The 22,305-nt window shown below is 40.8% G+C and overlaps 1 protein-coding gene across 13 annotated transcripts in view; it reads right to left on the bottom strand.

The window, feature by feature from the left end:
• CREB5 (cAMP responsive element binding protein 5) overlaps positions 1-22,305 on the bottom strand; it is a 526,574-nt gene that overhangs the window by 79,540 nt on the left and 424,729 nt on the right. For all 13 annotated transcript variants that reach the window (NM_182899.5, XM_017012807.2, XM_017012808.2 and 10 more), the window contains one exon: positions 22,023-22,133. In NM_182899.5, coding sequence (NP_878902.2) covers positions 22,023-22,133 — 111 coding nt within the window. The remainder of the gene's footprint in view (positions 1-22,022; positions 22,134-22,305) is intronic.

Raw genomic sequence — 22,305 nt, 5'->3', positions numbered from 1 at the left:
TGAAACGAGCCTCTACAGACTAATGCCATGTTGAACTTACAACTTTTCTTGTTGCTTTACATAGAGTGAGAGAATGAGAAAGTTACAGGCAGACTGACCTTATAACCAAAATTTCTTTCTCTCCATGTCCCTAGAGAATTCATTTTTGCTAATATTAATGGTGGAACTTTCACGTAATACTAAAAAGGGGGCTCATTGCAAAAGTAGCTTTGTACCTCCTTAGAGATCAACTTCTAAAGGAAATTCTGGTACATTTTGAATAGTCAGATGGAAGGGGAGAGGTGGCTTTGATTTTCCCCTCAGAATGAGAAAATATTTCATCAGGCTCTGCAAATTCATGTCAAGGCACTGAGCTGAGGACAGTGAGTAGAAGCATTGATCTGGACTTCCTCCAGGAGGGCTTGAGCAGGTTCTTGGAGGAAGTGCGTGTTCTTAGGCAAAAGCAGGGAGCCAGAGCACTAAAATGTTCATCCTGAAAGCCTGGGACTTAGGTGTCCTAGCTGGTCTCTTAAAAGACAGCAACATTCACTGCCTCACTAACCACGCCACTTCTGGAAAGAAAACAGCATTGCCTCCATGGTCAGATCAAGGACTGCCAGGGGTAAGAAGGAAAGCTCTCTCCTGTCTAGACAGCTCCGGCCTGTTGCTAGAACAGCAGCATGCTCCAGAGGTGTGGATCATCTGCTCTAGCTCTTGGGGTTCTGCTCTGTAATAGCAGAATGGGTTTCTAAAGTTCACAGCCACAGCCACTGGCAGAGATGAGGTGCATCTGCGCCTGCTCCGTTCTCAGAATAGAGCTGGACACTTCTGAGAGGATCATATCACTGACACAGTGCCAAAGACCTCAGCATATTCTGAGCCTGGCTATGGATTCACAAATCAAGGCATGGAATCCCTTCCCAAATCCTGGGCTGTCCTCTAGGTCATCATCTAGCATCAAGGCTAAGAATGCAGCCAAATAAAAGCAAGCATGACATTGGGTTACAAATGTAGAGATACAGCACAAGGACCTCAAAATCTATTCCTGGTTCAGTGGCTGTCACTATTAACAAGGAAATGACTTAGGACACCTTCGTATTCCTTCCCCCAGCCTGTGTTAACAATCACACTTTCAATCAACTTCTGAGAACACTTGAATACTAGATGTTTGCCAAAACATCATTGAAAGAGCGACTACAACTTATGAATACTGTTTGCCTTCCTCTACAGAAGTGCAAGGACCAGCGTGGAGCAAGAGAGATGTTCAGGGCACAAGATTTAAAGAGATATTCACTCTCAGAATTGTGCAAATGCACAGTACACGGTCAGCATGCAGACAGCCAAGAGCAAGCTCTTTCCTATATTTGTACCCTGGGCACCTCTCTTGCCTGCTTTCAGCTTCATAAATGAACCAGTCTGCAAGCTACAATATTCTCAAGGGAGGTCTCTTCCTGAGAAAGACCAGCCCAACACAGTTAGGCTTTACAGATCCTTAGAGAACTCCCACTGGAATTCGAGATTTGATTTTGCAAAGGCAAATCATTGCATCCTGGTTAGGATTTTGTTTAAGATTTTAATATTTAAGCAATCTTCAGTTTAGGAAACTGCTATGGGCTGAATTTTGTTCCTCCCATGTCCCACCTCAAATTCATATGTTGAAATCCTAACTCCGGGACCTCAGTATGTGACTGTATTTGGAGACAGGACATTTAAAGAGGTAATAAAGGGGGCCGGGCATGGTGGCTCATGCCTGTAATCCCAGCTCTTTGGGAGGCCGAGGCGGGTGGATCACCTGAGGTCAAGAGATCGAGACCACCCTGGCCAACATGGTGAAACCCCGTCTCTACTAAAAATACAAAAATTAGCAGGGCGTGGTGGTGTGTACCTGTAATCCCAGCTACTCGGGAGGCTGAGGCACGAGAATCGCTTGAACGTGGGAGGCGGAAGCTGCAGTGAGCTGAGGTCGCATCACTGCATTCCAGCCTGGTAACAAAGCAAGACTCCATCTCAAAAAAAAAAAAAAAAAAAAAAAAAAGAGGTACTAAAGGTAAAATGAGAGGTCATATGGATGGGCCCTAATCTAATATGACTGGTGTCCTCATAAGAAAAGGAGATTAGGAATCAAATGATAGACTGGATTAAGAAAATGTGGCACATATACACCATGGAATACTATGCAGCCATAAAAAATGATGAGTTCATATCCTTTGTAGGGACATGGATGAAATTGGAAACCATCATTCTCAGTAAACTATCGCAAGAACAAAAAACCAAACACCGCATATTCTCACTCATAGGTGGGAATTGAACAATGAGATCACATGGACACAGGAAGGGGAATATCACACTCTGGGGACTGTGGTGGGGTCGGGGGAGGGGGGAGGGATAGCATTGGGAGATATACCTAATGCTAGATGACACATTAGTGGGTGCAGCGCACCAGCATGGCACATGTATACATATGTAACTAACCTGCACAATGTGCACATGTACCCTAAAACTTAGAGTATAATAAAAAAAAAAAAAAAAAAAAAAAAGAAAAGGAGATTAGGACACAGACACAGCAGAGAAGAAAGACCGGGGAAGGACACAGGGGGAAGTTGGCCATCTACAAGCCAAGGAGAGAGGCCTGAAACAGATTCTTCCCCGCACAGCCCTCTGGAGGAATCACCCCACTGACACCTTGATCTTGGACTTCCACCCTCCAGAATTTTGAGACTGGAGAAATGAATTTCTGTGGTTTAAGCTACTCAGTCTGCGGTATGTTGTTGGGATATCGCTAACAAACCAATACAGAAACAAACAGTTTCCTAAGCTTTTCGTTTTCTTTCTTTTTTATTTTTTGAAACAGGGTCTCACTCTGATGCCAAGCTAGAGTGTAGTGGTGCAATCACAGCTCACTGCAGCCTTGACTTCCTGGGCTCAGGTGATCCTCCCATTTCAGCCTCCCAAGTAGCTGGGACTACAGGTGCACACCACTATACCCAGCTAATTTTTGTATTTTTTGTAGAGATGAGGTTTCACCAGGTTGCCCAGGCTGGTCTCAAACTCCTGGCCTCAAACAATCCTTCTATCTTAGCCTCCCAAAGTGCAGGGATTACAGGCGTGAGCCACTGCAGTCGGATAGAGACAAATCTTTTTCTAAGTTTTCTAATGTCCACTTCCCTGGGTTTCCTCCCTGCCATGTTTTGGCAAAAAATAGCCTTGAATCACCAGGGACAATGAGCTATATAGCACCTTAGGGCCTACACTGTCATCCAAGTCTCAACACTCGATTAGTAAAAGCAAAATAAGCTGGGCACGGTGGCTCATGCCTGTAATTCCAGCACTTTGGAAGGCCGACGCCGGCAGATCACTTGAGGTCAGGAGTTCAAGACCAGCCTGACTAACATGGTGAAACCCTATTTCTACTAAAAATACAAAAAATTAGCTGGACATGGTGGTGCACACCTGTAATCCCAGCTACTCAGGAGTCTGAAGCAGGAGAATCGCTTGAATCTGGAAGGTAGAGGTTGCAATGAGCCAAGATCGCACCATTGCACTCCACCTTGGGCAACGAGAGTGAAACTCCATCTCAAAAGAAAAAAAAAGCAAAATAAGAAAAAGCAACAGTGTGTGATACTACTTGAAAATTTCCCAAGTATATCCTGAGAGGTGAATGAGGATTAGTGAGTAACTTATGTTTTAAGAAATCATGAATACAATTTCTAGGTGGACAAAAATGTCAGACAATGTTGGTGTTAGTAATGATGAGGAGGAGATGAAGGGTTTGCTCATTTTCTTTTCTTTCCTTTTCTTTTCTTTTTTTTTGAGACGGAGTCTTGCTCTGTGGCCCAGGCTGGAGTGCAGTGGCGCCATCTCGGCTCACTGCAAGCTCCGCCTCCCAGGTTCACGCCATTCTCCTGCCTCAGCCTCCCGAGTAGCTGGGACTACAGGCACCTGCCACCATGCCTGGCTAATTTTTTGTATTTTTAGTAGAGATGGGGTTTCACCATGTTAGCCAGGATGGTCTCGATCTCCTGACCTCATGATCTGCCCGCCTCGGCCTCCCAAAGTGCTGGGATTACAGGCGTGAGCCACCGCGCCCGGCCGGGTTTGCTCATTTTCTAATATGAAGTAAGCACATAGAATTGCTTCAATTAGTTCAGCCCTTGCAGTGGGTAGATTTAATCCTTCTGTAGGTCATTTCCATCACTCCCATCTCTGGTTTCAATGGTAATAAGAATCAATTACTCAGACATCAAAAAGTCATAATATGTTAATCAAATGTGAGAACACCACACTATGGATTTTTTTTTTTTTTTTTTTTTTAGAGGGAATCTCACTCTGTTGCTCAGGCTGGAGTGCAGTGGTGTGATCTCTGCTCACTGCAACCTCCGCCTCCCGGGTTCAAGCAATTCTTCTGCCTCCGCCTCCCAAGTAGCTGGGACTACAGGCGCACACCACCACGCCTGGCTAATTTTTGTATTTTTAGTAGAGACAGGGTTTCACCATGTTGGCCAGGCTGGTCTCGAACTCCTGACCTCATGATCCACCTGCATTGGCCTCCCAAAGTGCTGGGATTACAGGTGTAAGCCACCATGCCTGGCTTACATTATGGCTATGTTTAAGGGCTATGAAATGGATATATCTTGGCTGGTGGGAGATCCGTGCCCTTGCTAAACAATGAATCCAAGGGATATTAATTTTGATTGTCATACGATCATCATTCCTCTGGTTTCGAAATCCAGTAATGGTGCAGAACAGTCATGACGAAGATCATGGTAATAAAAGAAGAGAAAGTTCAAAACGTACTTAATTGTTGGTATGGAGCTATCTCAAAGGAAAGAAACACATCTCGGCTGATAAACATTCACTCTACAAAGGACTCTTCCAGGGATGGCTTCAGAGATAGAATCCACTCAGAGAGAGATGTGTTTCCTTTCTTTCTCCCTGAAGTCCAGGTGGCTGCCTCAGCAAATAAAAAGTGTTGTCCTCAGGGATGGCAGGGTGGGGGTGGCTGGGGTGGATTTCTGTCCAGTACTATTTCATTCTTCCCTCAACAGATGGAGGGAGGCTCTTTCAGATACGTTATGGAATAAAAGGCTTTTGTGGGCAGCCCTGGGAAAGTAACCATCTCTGACATTTCTTGTGAGGAAAACTGTGTTTTGAGTTCTGAATGACTGACTTTTAAACACACTTTGGGAACACCACCCATGAGTGCGCACGGAGGCCTGTTTTTAATGGAAGTGTTTGTGGAAGATCTACCTTGGAATTCCAGGGGAAGCATTGTAAAACCTCCTGAACTGTGCTCAATTCCACAACATTTTTGGTAACTCAACAACCTTTAGTCAAGTAGAAATCAGTTAATTTAACAAGGTTGAAAAAAAAAAAAAAATCCCTGCATGGCCAGGTAATACGTTCATAATGTATTATTGGTCCTGAGAAACTAAAAACATATTATCCAGGTAGAATATGTCCTTTTGATATTTTTTTGCCTGAGTAAATATCCAACTACATTTAATTAAAATTTTAAAGTCACATATCAAGTAACAATGAAAAAAATAAAATTTCCTTTTTCTTTCAAATAATTCATACCATCTTTCTAATCACCTTTTTATTTTTCAAAGGGTTACATGAGTTTAACAGAAGGATTTTTCTACCGGAAAAGAACGAAGACGCAAGCCTTGGTTACCCCATTTCAGAGGAGATTTTAAAGAGGGATCTGGAAAACTGTTTTTTCCTTTTTTTCACTCATCATCATGTTACACAGTTTCTAAAGACCTGATCTCAACTTTCCTCTCAGCACAGGCTATAATTTTTTTTGCTAAGACGATCCTTTTCTGTCATTCTCTTGAATGTTTCTCTTCCTGGGTGACTGGGAGAATTCCTTCAAAAGGATTTCTGAGACTGGTGTTTCCCAAACAACAGAGAACATCGTACCCCTAGAAATGGAGGACCAAGTGGCTTTTGTGATAAGCAAGACCTCACCTGCACTTCGCAGACACTCCCAGCAGAGGAAAAATACCAAACAGAAAGGGAAAGTGGTCATGGAACAGATTCTGCTACCAAGAAATCAGGGAATAAATGGCCAGGGATGAGTTTCATAAGACCTGAATTATACAATTCAGAGAACAAAATTCATAAATTTATCTAGTTGTTTCCTGACAATTTCATTCGATCTGCCTAAGTTAGCTACCCCATAGTTCACCTAGAAATGTTTCCTAGTTCCCTTACCTATTGGTGCATAAAAGCTGCTTTCACATGTCTCCAGTTTCCAACCTACATATCAGCCAGTGATTTGCATAATCCTTAAACCCCCACCCCCATTCCTTTTTTCAGCCACCTAATGCAAACAAGATCTGGCTCAGGCTTCCCTAAACTAATCCACGGAACACCATTTAGAAGGGAGACTATTCCGTGTAAGTTGGCACGGCCGAATGAGATCTCTATTGTATAAGGGGCAGTCCCAGTAGAAAGACATTAATGAATATGCCAGTGGGGAGAGCCTCAGCTTCCCAGTTGCTTGCTGGACCCTAAAGCTGTAAGAACTCTGTGAAACTTGAATGTTTCTTTTTTTAACCAAGGTAAGGAATTTAATGCCACTGCCCTGTCTGAATCCTTACAGCTCATCAAGACCCAAGTCATAAACAACAACTTCAGGAAGAATGAAGCCTAGCCTGAGCCTCCCTCCAAATTCTCCTTTTCCCACTCACTGCTTCACACTTGAACTAACCAGTCTGTCCTCTAAACTCGAATATGCTTTTCTGGTAATATTTTATGACCCCTACCTTGCCCATAAAAATGTAAGTTCTTTAGAGGCTGAGACTGTGTTTAAGCATCTTTGCAAAACCCGCAGCTTGTTAGCACAAATAATAAATGCTTCTTGAATAAATACATATGTTTTTAAAAATAACTTGTTATTTTAAAACAGTTATTTAGTGCTGTTTTTCCCCAGTATCTCCAGGTTTCAGCTCACTCTTTGTATTCTCCCTCCAAAACCCCTCCCCTCTCACCTTTCAGATCTGCTGAGACCAGCGCTACTGAACAGACACGATGGAAATGTTCCTTATCTATGTGGGCCCATATGCTAGCCTCTGACCTCATGTAGTTATTGAGCGCTTGAAATGTGGATAGTGGAACTCATAACTGATTTTTAAATTTTATTTTATCTTCATGTATTTAAAACTTAACCTAGCCACAGGTAGCCACTAGGCTACTGTATTGAAGAGCACAGGACCTTGACTCTTCTGAGAAGTCTTGCTGAAGAACCACTCTAGACACCTCCCAGCCATCAGTATGAAGGTAGATTAGGAGCTTACCTTGTGCTTGACTTTATCATAATATTTATCACAACATACTTAGTTTTCTATTTATTTACCTGATTTTCTTATTGGACTGTAAGTTCTTGAGTCTTAAGTTATAGCTTATTTATCATTGTATCTCTGAGAACCAGGTGTAATACTGGTATTTTAAAAGTGCTCAATAAATATTTCGGGAGGAAAAGGATGAATGAATGAACTGATTGCTCAGTGGACGGCTAGAGACATTTTTTAATATATAAGAAATCTACAAAACAGACTTGTTGGAACAGTGAGCTGGGAACTAAGAGATGAATGGTGGTGATGTGACAAATTATCTTTGTCTAAGGAGCATACGCAGTTCTTTAGCTCATCTTTCCTCACAAGCTCAGGCCCTGCCTTCTGCTTCACTGGAACACAGGAACAACTCGCTTGTAGACTCTCTGGTCATTAAGCCATGACTTTGTCCAGACTTGCCCTTTAAGAAAATTCCCAGGAGATAAAGTTCACTGCAATGACGGAGTGAGATAAACATGCTTTTTGCTGTGATCCCATGTTCTCACATACCCCATACTGGTCTACCGAACAGCTGAACTCATTCATCAGATTTGAAAATAATCAGGTTTTTTACACTCTGTTATCATGGGTACGGTTGTTCCAGAGGGTGTGTTGGCAAAGAGCCTACTGAACCATGTCCTCGAGACCGAACCACATCCATCCAAGGGCCTGGGGAGTTCTTGCTCCTTTGCTAGCTTTATTCCAAGTACACTTGCAAAGCATAAGGGAAACTCTTATGCAAACCAAAAATGATCCTAGGTGTTTAGGAAAAAATAATGCCAAAAGTTGGCATGGCATGATTCATGTCATTTTAGGGTACCTAGATAATTAAGTCTCAGGGCTAGACGTATTCCAAATATTTGGATAATTCAAAGTAATTTGCACAGACATAGTAAAAATCTATTTTAGGTGGTGGAATTTAATATATATTTCTTGGTGAGAATTTAGTCTTCTGTGCAATTTTAGCCCTAATATTTTAACATTAACAGGTTTAATGTTATAAAGTGTTTTTGTACTTATAAGCTTGTGAACTAACAAACCATAAAACAATAACATGTGTTTACAATTTGAAAATATACTGCACTGAGCTCTGTTTTCTAAAATAAATTTTGAACTATTTGTAAAAAATCTTAAAAGTCATATTTACTTTTTCATATTTCAATTAATTAATTGGTGAATTCAATGTAACAGCTGTATAACTCCCATGAGTTTTTCTATCCAAGTCTCTACAAAGGACATGGTAACTAAGTCCATTAATCAAAGCTAGGAGTTGAATGCTAGAACTGATTTTTACCATATCTTTGCTGAATGATCTAAAGTAAGTTACTTAATCTCTCTTAGTCTCAGTTTTCTCCTTCCTGAGACTATGCACCTTGAACAAGTATGTTTTAAACCATATGAATTAAACCAGTAAAAGAAACAGAAGTATCCTTTGAAACAGGAGTTAAAAATATATATATATATATATATATATATATATATATATATATATATATATACGTATATATATACATATATACACACACACACACAGAGAGAGAGAGAGAGAGAGAAATTACTATGTGCTAAATGATTTCTCTGTTACCTCATTTAATCTTTAAAAATTATCCCCATTTTGTCAATGGGGAAATGAGGAACAGAGGGGGGAAGAAACCAGGAGGTGCAGCTAGATCTGAAGCTAGGCAGTCTGATTCCTTGTTTTTGTTTTCAATCAATGCCTCACCTTGCTTCTTAAAAAGAACAACAACAGCAAAAAATTTTATTCTTAATTCCAACTGAGAGCTGTGGTTTTCCTGAAAAGGTAGCCTACTGTCTATGTGAAAGGTATGAAAACATTTCCTAGTTCTTAAAATATGAGCTAGTGGTCATTATTAACATTATTGTTAATGATACAGAGACTTGGTATTTTCCAATTTAACATTCAAGATTTCAAATATTAAAAAATAACCCCCAAATTCCATGACCTATAGTGATTTGAGCTTCCACTGGGGTATAGATTTGAGCTGCATTTGCTCCACAGGTCTGGGTGGGAACAGGATGATCAGCCTGGCCCTCCATCTGGGGTCAGGATTACAGTGTGGTTGTGTTCCCCACTTGTTGCCCTGGGTTCAGGGAAATGATGTGCTCCATGCACGGTTCTAGGGATTCATTACATGGCCAGGAAAAACCCACAGAGGAACATCAGGGGCCTACTGTTAAAAAAAAAAAAAAAAAGAGAGAGAGAGAGAGCCTAAGTACATAGCTGACATGGATAATAAATATTTGCTGGCTAATTGTCACTGCTTCCATGCGTCCACACCTCCTGAAATCCAGTCACCACGTTGCTTTAAGGTAACCAAAGCAAAGACAGCATGGAAGGGTCAGCTAGTCCTCTAGGGTTACTAAGAATGTGAGATTTGAAACCAGAGCTGGGTTCAAATCCTTGTTGGCCACTTGCTGGCTAAATGATCCTGGGCACTGTCCCCTGTACGTCAGTTCATTTGTCTACAAAAATGAGGACACCCACCTCATAGGAGAGTGGGATAATTAAAGAAGATAATATATGTAAGTGCACAGAGTGCTTTGTGTGGGGTCCGGCGCAGTGGCTCACGCCTGTAATCCCAGCACTTTGGGAGGCTGAGGCAGGCGGATCACCTGAGGTCGGGAGTTCGAGACCAGCCTGAACAACATGGAGAAACCCCGTCTTTACTAAAAATACAAAATTAGCCGGGCGTGGTGGTGCATGCCTGTAATCCCAGCTACTCGGGAGGCTGAGGCAGGAGAAATGCTTGAACCTGGGAAGCGGAGGTTGCAGTGAGCCGAGATCACACCACTGTACTCCAGCCTGGGCAACAAGAGCAAAACTCTGTCTCAAAACAAAACAAAACAAACAAACAAAAAACCATATAGTGCTTTGTGTGTAGTTCCTTGCTGACTCCTTACCACATAGCAAGCACACGGGGCCAGGTGTTGGGGCTCATGCCTGTAATCCCAGAGCTTTGGGAGGCCCAGATGTGAGGATCGCTTGAGGCCAGGAGTTTGAGACTGGTCAACATCGCGAGACCCTGTCTCTGTAAAAAATTTAAAAATAGCTGGGCGTGGTGGCGTCTGCCTGTAGTCCCAGCTACTTGGGAAGCTGAGGTGGGAGAATCGCTTGAGCTCAAGAATTTGAGGCAGCAGTGAGCTATGATTCTACCACTGCACTCCAGCAGGGATAACAGAACAAAATTCCATTAAAAAAAAAAAGAGAGAGAGAGGAAGCACACAGTAATATGGCCCATGATTACCACTCAGTAAATGTTTAATACTATTATATAATGAATTATTCATATTAATTCATTTGATAAGTAGATATTTTCTAGCAACTATATGCCAGGTGTTCAGATCCCTCCCCCTCAGGGAGCCTAGACACTAGTAAGGAGGTTACAACCTGGTTAACAGAGGACTCACTCAACTTTAAAAGAATACTCCATTAATAACACTTACACTCCTTATATTTTCTGTTTAACTTTCTTGCTTGAGAATGGAGTCAGCAACACTTACCCACCCAATGATAATGATAAAGTTTAACTAACATAAATCTATATACGTACATAGTGACTGAGGAAATAAAAATGGCCAGAGATTGATTTGTCATAAATGGGATAAGAGCAGGATCCCTGTAATCCTACCTCAGAACATTGTGAATGACACAAACACATCTCTGATTTATTTCAGATACTTAGGCATATATTTAAATAATCAAAGTCTTGGTTAGATAAACACAGAAAATGTGAAAGAGCCAGAGTAATAATCCTGGAGAAGCCAATATTTTTGTATCACATAAGTTGTATAACTATAAAAATCAGAAAGCTTAAGCTTAGAATAAAAACAAACCTCTAAACACTGCTTCCAAGCAAAAAAAGTAATACCAAACAAACAAAAAATCCACACACAAAAAAACAAAAAAAACCAAAACGATTAAGTGTATTTTAAATCATGCATTTAGTCTTAGAGAATGAAAGTATAATTAGTAAAGTAAGGTGGTGAAGCTGGTTAATTAGTAAGAATTTTCAAAATGCAGCAGAGGAAGGACAATTTGCTCTATTACTAGTTCCCTGGATTCTGGTACTGACCACAAAGAAGAAAAATCACCTTCACCTTAAAGTAAAGAAATTTATCAAAGAATAAAATCAAGCGGCCAAAAAATATTTAAGACAACTTTCAACATTACCTATAATGTAAGAAATGCAAACAAAAATTGGCAAAATCTTGCTTAAAATGATAATGTTAAATATTTCTGAAAATGCTGTGAGATGAACATCCTCCTGTATTATAGAAATAAATACAATTTAGTATAAATTTTAAGAAATTTGGAAGCGTTATAATGTTTATTCCCTTTGACCTGTTAATCCTAATTCTGAAAATCTATCCTAAGGAACTAAGTAAAGATGTAATTAGTTTCAGATTTTTTTGTCTTTCTAATTTTTATAATCAAAGGACTATTTCTAGCAGAGAAAATTCAAATATCCAGAAATAGAAATGAGGAAATAGTTAAATTTTTAAGTGAAACCCCATAAGATAAATTAGATAATTATTAAAATGTTTTCAAAAGATACTTGATAGGAAAAAATACTCATAACATTTTTAAAAGCATGATATAAACTGTATATTTAGTGTGAACCCAATTTTGATGTATTACTTATATGAACAGAGAAAAAAGGCAAAGGAAATTTTCATTTTAACACATTCCTTTGCCTCTATGTATTGAAGGCAAAAAGTTTAGTTTATACCTATGTGTTTGGATCAAAACTATACTGGAATCCATTAACCTGTTTTTTTTGTTTGTGTTTTTTTTTTTTTTTTTTTTTTTTGAACTACTGAAGCCTTGGGCCTGCAGCAAGGGGATTTCAGTACTAAAGTGCTAAAGCATTTCATGTAAGGCCACCACACCTTCAGATGGTGCCACACCAGGGGTCAAGAGGCCTCATGCAGGGCTTCTCTGCAGAGCTGCACTTGACTGTGGCTGGCAGAGCCCCCAGGTACCAACGTAGATATCTGGGGAATTTTGGGTAGAATTCACACCTGTTCAGTGTCTCTATCCCACCTACTTATCATGGGTCCTTGAATTCTATCATTACGATTAAATGGTAGAATTAAATTATGATTTAAATCTTATCTTCTCCCTGGAACTTAAAAAGTAGCTCACAGTGTGGGATGACATATTAAATCACAGTAACACCATCTCAATTAGTTTATCAGACTTTTCTTCCTTCATTCTATCAGCAAATGTTTACTGGGCACCTAGCAAGTACAGGAGAGATGGCAAACTGGGGACACGGAGCTGAATCAAACTGGCCCCAGCTCTCATGGAGCTTGCAGGCTGGCGGCGAGGCAGGTCCATGGACAATGACAACACAGTAAAGCTCCATGAGGAAGAGACAAACAGTGCAAGTGGAGTCTGTCCTAGAAGAAGGCATGGCTCCTGCCCACCTGGGGAAGGCAAGAAGACTTCACAGGAAAGGTACATTTGAGCTGAGCCTTGACAAAAGGAGTGGAGTTTGCAGCAGCAAACAGGGATTGTATGCAAGTCTAGGCGGGGCAGCCAGAGGCAGCAAGAAGCCCTCAGGAAAATGCCGGGCTCCTGAGAGGGGGTCCTGGAGCGAGATCATGGTGTGCAGAGATGAGTGGAGGAGAAGGGGCTGGTAGGAACACTGGACCAAACTGAGGCTCAGGTACCTTGGAAACATGGGTGCAACATGTTCCTATGCAAGGTGCCAAAAGGGAGAAGGAAGTTCCAGAAAAGGGTGCATGTGAAACACTTTACCAGCTCTGAAATTCTACCCAAGTGTGCTCCTTACACCTCAGATCCTGGCTCTATTTTGAAATCAAGGTTACTGACTCGGCTCTCTGGTTGCACTTTTTAATCTCTGGAATACAAGGCCACAGTTGGATTAAAATCTCATCCTCCTTGAACACTTCTGTCCTGGGGACTGTGTATGCTGTTTTGAAATAAAAATAATTGAGGCATGCCTTTATTGTCTGGGACCTAAGTATCCTGTGAAGCTAATGATTCATCTTATTCACACTACAGCAATACAACAATCATTTAGTACAATCCAGCTTCTCAAACAAGCGATAAAAAGACAATTTTAAAAGGATACCAAAAGGGAAAACATACTCTTCGTAGTTTAAATTTCAAGATTGGATTCTTGGGTTTTAAGAAAAAAAAAAAAACAACCCTAAACCTTTAGGAAAACTTTGCCTCCTCTGTCTACCCGAATGCCCCACCTTCCATCCCTATCAAGGCACAAATTTCCAGATAGATCTTCTGTGCTTCCCACAAAAAAAAAAAAAAAAGCAAGACAGAGTCATCATCCCAAAGTGCAAAGCAAACTTTCATTATTAGCTGTGCTGGCAAAAATCTTGGAAGTGTAAGCTACAAACATTCCAAGAAAATGACCAAAATATATCTCTGCAAAGCAGAACTTCCCTGTAACAAGATTGTTAAATTTCCTTTTTTTTTCCTGGCTTTTCTGACACAGCTGAACTTATTCGCACAATGTTCCAAAGCAGACAGGGACACACGCGTGCTCACACGTCCACAAATACACAAGAAAGAGGCTCTTGAAAACTTTGTCTGAGAGGGGGTGTTCTGACCCAAACCATATGCAGTTTTTTTTGCCCAGATGCATCTGAATTCAGGCTCAGGAACATTAAACAAACATAAAAACAAGACCCAGCAATGCGCGTGCTGGGCTGGGTGACAGAGGCAGCTAGCAAATATTGGGATTGTATTTCACCAGTTGCCGTGGTTACCAAAACAGGGTGGATACTGGCAGAAAGAGAAAGAAATAAAACCGAGAAGACAATGAGTCCTAGGAGAATGTCTGAGTGTGTGTACAAGGAGCCGGTTGTGAGGGTGGAGAAGGTAGGGCCAAGAGAAAAGATGGAATGGAAAGGGGCGTTTCAAAACCCCTCTGTGCTTGTGTGAGCAGTGGGCTCATTCACCACTCCACACCCAGCATGATGTGGAGCTCTAGAACCCGAGGAAGACCCATGCAGGCACAAAGAAAACAGCGAGAAAACATGGGGATTTGGGTTGGTGACAAGCAAAACCAAGGCATTTTGTACTAGGTGCCAAGGGATGAAATCCTCAGCATGTATTCGTACGCTGGCTGGCAAATAAGCCAAGTCAAGACCACCAAGTCTCTGGAAGAATCATAGAGAATTGAGCCCATTCCTTCGGGGAATTTGATGATCAGCTTCAATTCCCAGTTGACATAGAAGGGAAAAGCTGATTGGCCTCTTTCACCCCTGTGTACTTCGCTTCAATAACCAAATTGCAGAAAATGCTTCATAAGCTATCACCTTAGAAAGGTCACTCTCACAGCAACCAGCGGATGACTTTCCCCATCAAACTTGATAGTATATACAGAGGGAAGTTCAACACACTTGAAAATCAGGAACCTGGGTTCTAATTCTCCTTCTTCCATTCATTAGCTTCTTGACCTTAGACAAGTTATTAACTTGAACTTCAGGCCTTTTTTTCTCAAAAGAAACGATTTTGCCAAAAGAATCCCCGAACTCCCTTCCTGTTTTGGAATTTGGTGATTCATAGGCAATTAATCATCTCTCAATTCTTGTTTTCAAGACACATAATCGAATGTATATTCTCGTGTATTTGGAGTTCTGATCAGGTCATGGAATACAAACTCTGTAAGAACTTATTCTTTTCTGTAGAAATATAAATAGATGGTTGCTAGCCCTTCTCTTATCAATGACCTCATAATCTAATCATTTACATTTTATTTTTAAGATGACATGATATATTCCTAAATTAAACTTTCTACAGTTTAAATGGGCAAAGTGGCAATGGCATATAAAACGTCATACTTCTAGCCAGCAGAAAGGAGATGGGGTTTCTGTTGGCTCTCAGTGTTAGTCTCAAAGTGCTATTGCTTTTAATTCTTTAATAACAATAGCTAAACTCAAATTCAGCACTTGTCTCAGCCAGACAGAGATTTAGAGAAGACTCCTCTCCAATATTTAGTTGATGAGGTCTAGAGAGTTTAATAGGCATAAGCAAAGAGGTGGTGGGGCCTGAGCTACTAATTTGAGCCTAATCTTACTTTATACAACTGAGCTTTATTTTTATAAAGGCATGCTTTTATTCAGAATAAGTTACCATGGGAACGCCAGGGATAGCATGATATAATAGAAACAGGACAAAAATCAAAGAAAACCTGGGCTCAGGTCCTGGTTATACCACTGAGTGATCCTGGAAAAGTCACTTAACCTCTCTGTGTCTATAAAACAAGCATAGTAACTTTCCCTGTTGATCCTACAGGGTTGCTATGAAGCCCCAACAATATGATGTACATGGAAGCAGTTTGCAATTTGTAAAGTGCTCTACTAATGTAAACTCACAGGATAACAATCCCTACTGCTGGCTAAACATTACAATTAAGGGCTAGAACCAGGAGCCCAGTGCTTGGGTTCACATCCCAGACCATATTTTACCAACTGCATGCTCTACAACATACCCAACCTTTCAGTTTATTCACTCGTAAAATAAGATTAAGGACACTATCTGGGCCAAGCGTGGTGGCTCATGCCTGTAATCCTAGCAGTCTGGGAGGTTGAAGTGTGAGGATTGCTTGAACCCAGGAGTTCCAAGATGAGCCTAAGCAACATAGGGAGACTCTGTCTCAAAAAAAAAAAAATTATCTGGGTGTGGTGGCGCATCTGCAGTCCTAGTTACTAGCTGCACCACCTAGTACGTGGGAGGATTACTTGAGCCTGCAAGTTTGAGGCTGCAGTGAGCCATGGTCCCTCCACTGCACTTTAGTCTGGTTGATAGAGCAGGATGTCTCAAAAAACAAAAAAAGAAAGAAAAAAGAATATCTACCTCATCAAATTGTTCTAAAAATTGAGAATATATTGCAAGATGCTTAACATAGCTCCTACCACATACATAAGTGCTTGATTCAGGCTGGCAATAACTACTCTCTACCACGGTGTTTTAAGAAGGAAAATCGCTTTTAAGGTGAGACACAGCATACATACAAGTGAGACTGTAGATTGCTATTGTTGCTGCTGTTGTCATGGAATCTTATGTAATTCCTATTCATCTGCATGGTGGACAGTGGTTTTCACAGCAATGAGGGAGGAGCATTCTGAGAAACGTGGTCATCTTACTTCAGCCCATCATCATCATGTTTTGATCACAGGCTACAGGGTCACATGGCTGCTGGCATGATTCAAAAGTTGATGAGAGCTTCTTTAAAGTCAATAGCACTTCTTTCCTAGTCACAAAGCTTCTGAGAAGCAGACAGCCTATTCATTCATTGCTTTTTATTCCTGGACTTTTAGGAAGTGAAGCTGGGGATGATTAAAGCAAATAGGCAAATCGAAGAACTGCATTTTTCAGGAGTGCCAGAGAGATGTTACCTGGAGACTGTCTTTTCATGTGTATAAGCTTTCCAGGCAACTCCATCTGGAGCCAGGCTCCTCTGTGATTTATCTGTTGGACAGTGGGTGGCCAAGGGGCACCGTAGGCAAACAGTTATCCAGCTCGATAATTAGGGAGGGGAAAGGCAAACACAAACACACCCAGGTTGACATTCAAAACGAAGTGGATATGCAACCACGGATTGCTCACCATACCTCCCTAGTTCTTGTCTGCCAGGCTGTGCGGAGGAAACCACGAGCCGACAGAAGCACTGTTAGTAATGTGTCAGTGCAGCTGACAGAGAAATCACAATTCTAGGTAGAAATGTGAAGGCCCAAGCTCAGGGTCCAGTTTTGTGTTTAAAATATGGCTTTATCTCCCTAAATCTTTAGTGGGCCTCGGTGTCCTCACTTGTGAAAAGAAGGAATTGGAGAAGGTTCTAACTAAGTAGTCTCCATTTCTAAGATGCCTTGTCTTTCTCATCCTTTTAGCTTCTTTCATTGATTCATTAATGCATGTACTTAGGTATCTATTCAATAAATTGCAAACCTAACTATAGACGAGGTATTGACAATAAATGATCAAAATACAGCATGACCAGTCCAACACAATGGAAGAAATAGCATTTAGTACTGATGCTCAACTCCAAGGAGGACAAAGACATTCCAACTTCTATTTTCAAAGGAACAGACATACTGCTTTTCTCTCCAGGAAAAAAAAAATGACAGATTTAGGTATTTTTCAAAGAAATCAAATGAAGTCAACTACTCTTGATAGGCTGATTACTTAGCTTAGAATTCATCTGGATTTATCCCACTTCACCCCACCTTCATCAGCATTGCTAGGGTTTGTTCCTTCCCATTATTTTAATTCAACTCAACTCAAACTCAAATTCATTTCTCATTCATGGGGCCTTTCTCAGTACAAGGAGCTTGCACGATGCAAAGATCATCTTCAAGGAGTTTTCAATCAATCGAGAGAGACACACGTGTAAAATAAGAAAAGTCAAGACAAGAATGTGTTTGGATAAAGAACAGTGAAGCTGTACCAGTTAGTGAGGCTACAGAGTCCTGTTTAAACCAAGCAGGAATGCTGCTAACCACTCTACATCTTTTCCAGGTTATTTGGAGGTATAAACTATCCTTGCCATCCTTGTCTCCCATTTTTATGTAAATATAAATTAACCCAAGGGAATCTGATTTAATCTGCTGGTTACTGACATCTATCTGGTAGCCATATGATATTTTTATCCAAAGGATCAATGTTGTGATCAAAAGCTTTGTTACTGGAGTCTGAAACTTTAGTCTTTGCTAAGTGTTGTGTCACTGGGCCAGTTTTATTAACCGTTTGTAGCCTCAGTTGCCTCAGCTGTAAAGTGGGGACAATAGGCCAGGCATGGCGGCTCATGCCTATAATCCCAACACTTTGGGAGACTGAGGCAGGAAGATCTCCTGAGGCTAGGAATTTGAGACCAGTCTGGCCAACATAGTGAGATCCTGTCTCGACAAAAATATAAAAAAATCTAGCTAGGTGCACACTTGTAATCGTAGCTACTCAGGAGGCTGAGGTGGAAGGATTGCTTCAGCCCAGGAATTCGAGGCTGCAGTGAGCCATAGTCATGCCACTGCACTCCAACCAGGGTGACAGAGTGAGATCCTGCCTCAAACAAACAAACAAACAAACAAACAAACAAACAGGGACAATATCTCTGTTGTGGGGCTGTACTGAGGAGAAAATCAGGTCACACCTGTACATATCTTTTTCCTACTGTCATTCCTAGTATCAACACTCTCTAGCCTTCACTAACTCTGAATAAACTTAAGGTGAAACCTGGGCAGAGTGGTCAGAGCCCTCCATCATTTTAATCAGTCCTATACAGTAGTAGCCACCTCATAGTTAATGAGACACAAGACAGGTGTATGGCCACATCTCCACCCCTAACCCTCACTGCTTATTTAGCTTCCAAATCGTTACTGGTTTCTTTAAAATAAAAACAAAAACCTCTTTCAAAGCTTAATAGAATTGGTCTGATTCCCATAAATAGAAATGAACACATATCTACATAACTCTGAGAACACCATAACCACATTACTACAGAATCATCTGCATGCTATAGAGACTGGAAATGTGTCCCGGGATGGTTTGCATTTCCCCTACCCCTTCCTTTCCTCCTTTTCCCCTTTGAATGTTAAAAATGTCCACCAGGTATCTATCAGTGAATTTCTTTCTAGCAGATCCCACTTTCATCTAAGACACGTATTGCTCCCAGGAATCTAGAAGGAAGAGCCTATGATGTTGAGAGGTTAGAAAGACAGAAGCCTCTCAGAGCTCTGAGTCTGCTCTGACCCCCAAAAGGAATCCAATACGTGCATTGTGAAGCCATGTCTGTTGACTTAATTCTTCAGAAAATGAATCCATAAAATGAAATTATAATTAGCCAGAATTATGATAAAAATAGCTTGGACAGATGTGGCTACAGTACATTGATACTAATGTACATTAAATCAAAAGATTTGCACATGTGCTTCTTGATCTAGGATGTCCTAGATTAATGCGCTGGAGAACTTGATAAAGGCACTGGGTTTGCTTGCTCTCACAATAGAAATTACTAATTGGGGGCAAAGAAAACAGATGCATTCTAATGGGCAATCACTACTCAGAAAAATTCTAACAAAATTGTGCATTTAAAGCAATCCTGTCTTAAACTTCTGTCCACTTCTAAGACCTCCAAGTTTCGCCAGAGATTTAGGATAATGGCTTTTGTCTGTGGCCAACAGGGAGCTTGAAATGGACACTCTGACAGCACTGTCCCCAGGGGAATAAGTCTGCAGTGTTTTGGTGTGGGCAACACCTCCCTTGCAGCTCTCTGGTTACTTCTGTGCTCTGGGAACACACCCTGCAGAGTGCATTCATCACAATAGTCCATGTGTGACCTTTGGAAAAGTCCTTGAAAACAGTGAAACAAGAGTTTTAGTTGAAATCTGGAATCCATTCCAGTCTTACACAGGAAGAAAATTAGGCATAGAACAACAAAGCCCATAGTTCAGAGAAACCTGGGGAGGCTCTGGCTGACATTAAAATCGTGCAAGTTTTTTTTTTCCTTCACTACTTTGTATTTCGTAAAAGCTTTTCATCTGAGCAGCCCAAAGCTGCTAGAAAATACTATATGGTTAGTATATGGCAATAACTGATTTCTCCAGTAAAAATGCAAGCATAATAAGAACAGAGATGCTGAGTGACATATTCAAATTCACTTAACATTTTTCCAGTACTATTCTTTCAAACATGAGCAGCCAATGCTACCATTTTTCCCTTCAAATTGATGTATTGGCAATAACAGGGGTAGAGGTGGGAGCTTGGGGCAGAGAATAGCTGTACTCCCTAAGCCCCAACCCTATGATAGAGTTCATTAGCTCAGATGCTGTGGACCTGGAAATATTCATTTTCTTAGAACATGAATCAGCCTCGTGGTGTGCTTACTCAGTAAATTTAACCCAACAAACATTTGTGGGGTAAAACTATTTTTATAAGTACAGACCAGTTCCCTTTGTTTCCAACTGACATGATTCACTATTCATTTGCCAAATCATATGATTTATTTCATACGTATAAATAAGTATAAACCTGCACCACCTTTGGAAGCATTTTCCTTCTTTGCCAGCAAGAAGAGAAGAAGGACACTTTTGAGTCAAGCAGTGGCATAAAATCCAGTGAAAATCAACTGGCAGAGAAATTCAGTTTGGAATTGTGTTTTAGAATCTACCTAATATCTATCTGGAAGGTCCCTCCAAAAGGTACAGACCCTGAAGCAGATAAGAAGATTCCAAAGTAAACCACAGGGAGTAACATCTCAGACACAGACCCTGAGTATTTATTCATATACATGAAGAACTTACATTTATTTTTCTTAAGTACCTTCACAGTTCATTTTTTCTTTTCTTTCTTTTCTTTCTTTCTTTCTTTCTTTTTTTTTTTTTTTTTAAAAAAAGATATATGGCATTACTTTGGTCTCCAAAACAGTTGCCAGTTTGAACTTTATTCTGCCAGCAAGTATTTGGTTTGGCTCAGCAGGGCTCAAGTTGAAAAAATATTTGCCCATTCCAAAAAGATTTAACGAGCTTTGCTGCAAATGCTGGTGCCATTTGGCACATCACAGGGACTGTGGCACAGCAAAGAGAACTCTCTCAACCACAGATTTTATTTGCCCAAGGTAGCCAGCACTGGGAGCTCAGTTGATTCCTCGGGTCAAGAAGCTGCAAGTCAAATGCGTGAAGTTTCCAAGAGAAAGTGACCAAAGCAGGCATGAGAAAACTCTTGCTGACATTGAAAAGGAAGTCACTGGGTCTGACTCCACCCTGCACAGGAATTGATGGCTAACTTTCAGAACTGTCAACAACATCCTCACACCAACCATCAGATACAGTCTCTAATGCTGCCAGTCAGCAGACCAGATTAATCTCCAACTTCTAGCACAAGCTATCCTTATCCAATATCAGATGCTAGAAAGTTTGCTGCAGTGTATTTTGCAGTCATGTGATACCTTATTAATTGTGGCATGAGAATTAAACTGTATGTAAACTAAATGACCTATTTCAAGTAACTCCACTAAATATAATCACCAAGCTTACTTTATATTGCAAAGACAGACACGTATTGCATTGGTTTTGCTAATATTTGGTAGAATATAGATGCATAACTCTATCTGTGATTGGAAAGACTGACCTTACTGCAAACATGTAACATATGTTAAAAATCACTGAAGATTTTCACCTGAAATCATGCCTTTCAGTAAGGGTTGCAAGAAAATAAGGCTCTCATCCTTTCAAATCAATGTCACTTCTGACAATATAACAGAAAACACAAAACATTTTCATACCAGTGTGTGTTTAAGCATCAAGCTTCTGTCTTAATGAATATGGGGACAGGAAGAGTGGCATTGAAACTGTAACTACCTTGAAGAATGAGTAGTTTTGTATTATTTTTATTATTTCACATGCTGAGCAAATATATACACGCTTGGGTATATCCTACCCCAACTTGTATGGATCTACCAAAACTCCTAAATGTTCCTTTCATTAATACCACTTGCCAATCCAGTGCTTGTTACATGATTATCTGACACCAAGGCTCTGTAACAAACATCCTCAAAAAGAGAGGCAGTCTCTGCACTGCCTTTCATTCACCAAAACAAAGATGGAGCCCTCTACCTAGCTGAACTAAGGTTTTGGAGTCAGAGTAAAATTCAAAAGAAAAAGTCACAGAATAATGAAAGGGTGATTATAACTGTTACTTACCATTTTGGCTTCTGAATGCATTGGCTGGACCTGGGGAGAAGCACAGGGGTTGCTGAGATTTGGACCTTGCATCCCCATGATGCTGGAGTTCACTGACATTTGTCGCTCCATCTAAGAGAAAGGAAAGAAAAGAATTAGAAGTCTGCAAAGGCAGTCTAGGTCATTAGACAAAGCTGCACTTTTCTGTCCAATGGATCGTTTAGTATTTCTTTGAAGAAATCCTGAGAAGGCCTATGGTTTGGTGTGTGGTAAGCAATGCCCTCCTGAGCCTTGAACCCACGCA

Source organism: Homo sapiens, chromosome 7 (genome assembly GCF_000001405.40).
Source record: "Homo sapiens chromosome 7, GRCh38.p14 Primary Assembly".
NCBI lineage: Eukaryota > Metazoa > Chordata > Mammalia > Primates > Hominidae > Homo > Homo sapiens.
This window is presented reverse-complemented; position numbering and strand designations above follow the sequence as displayed.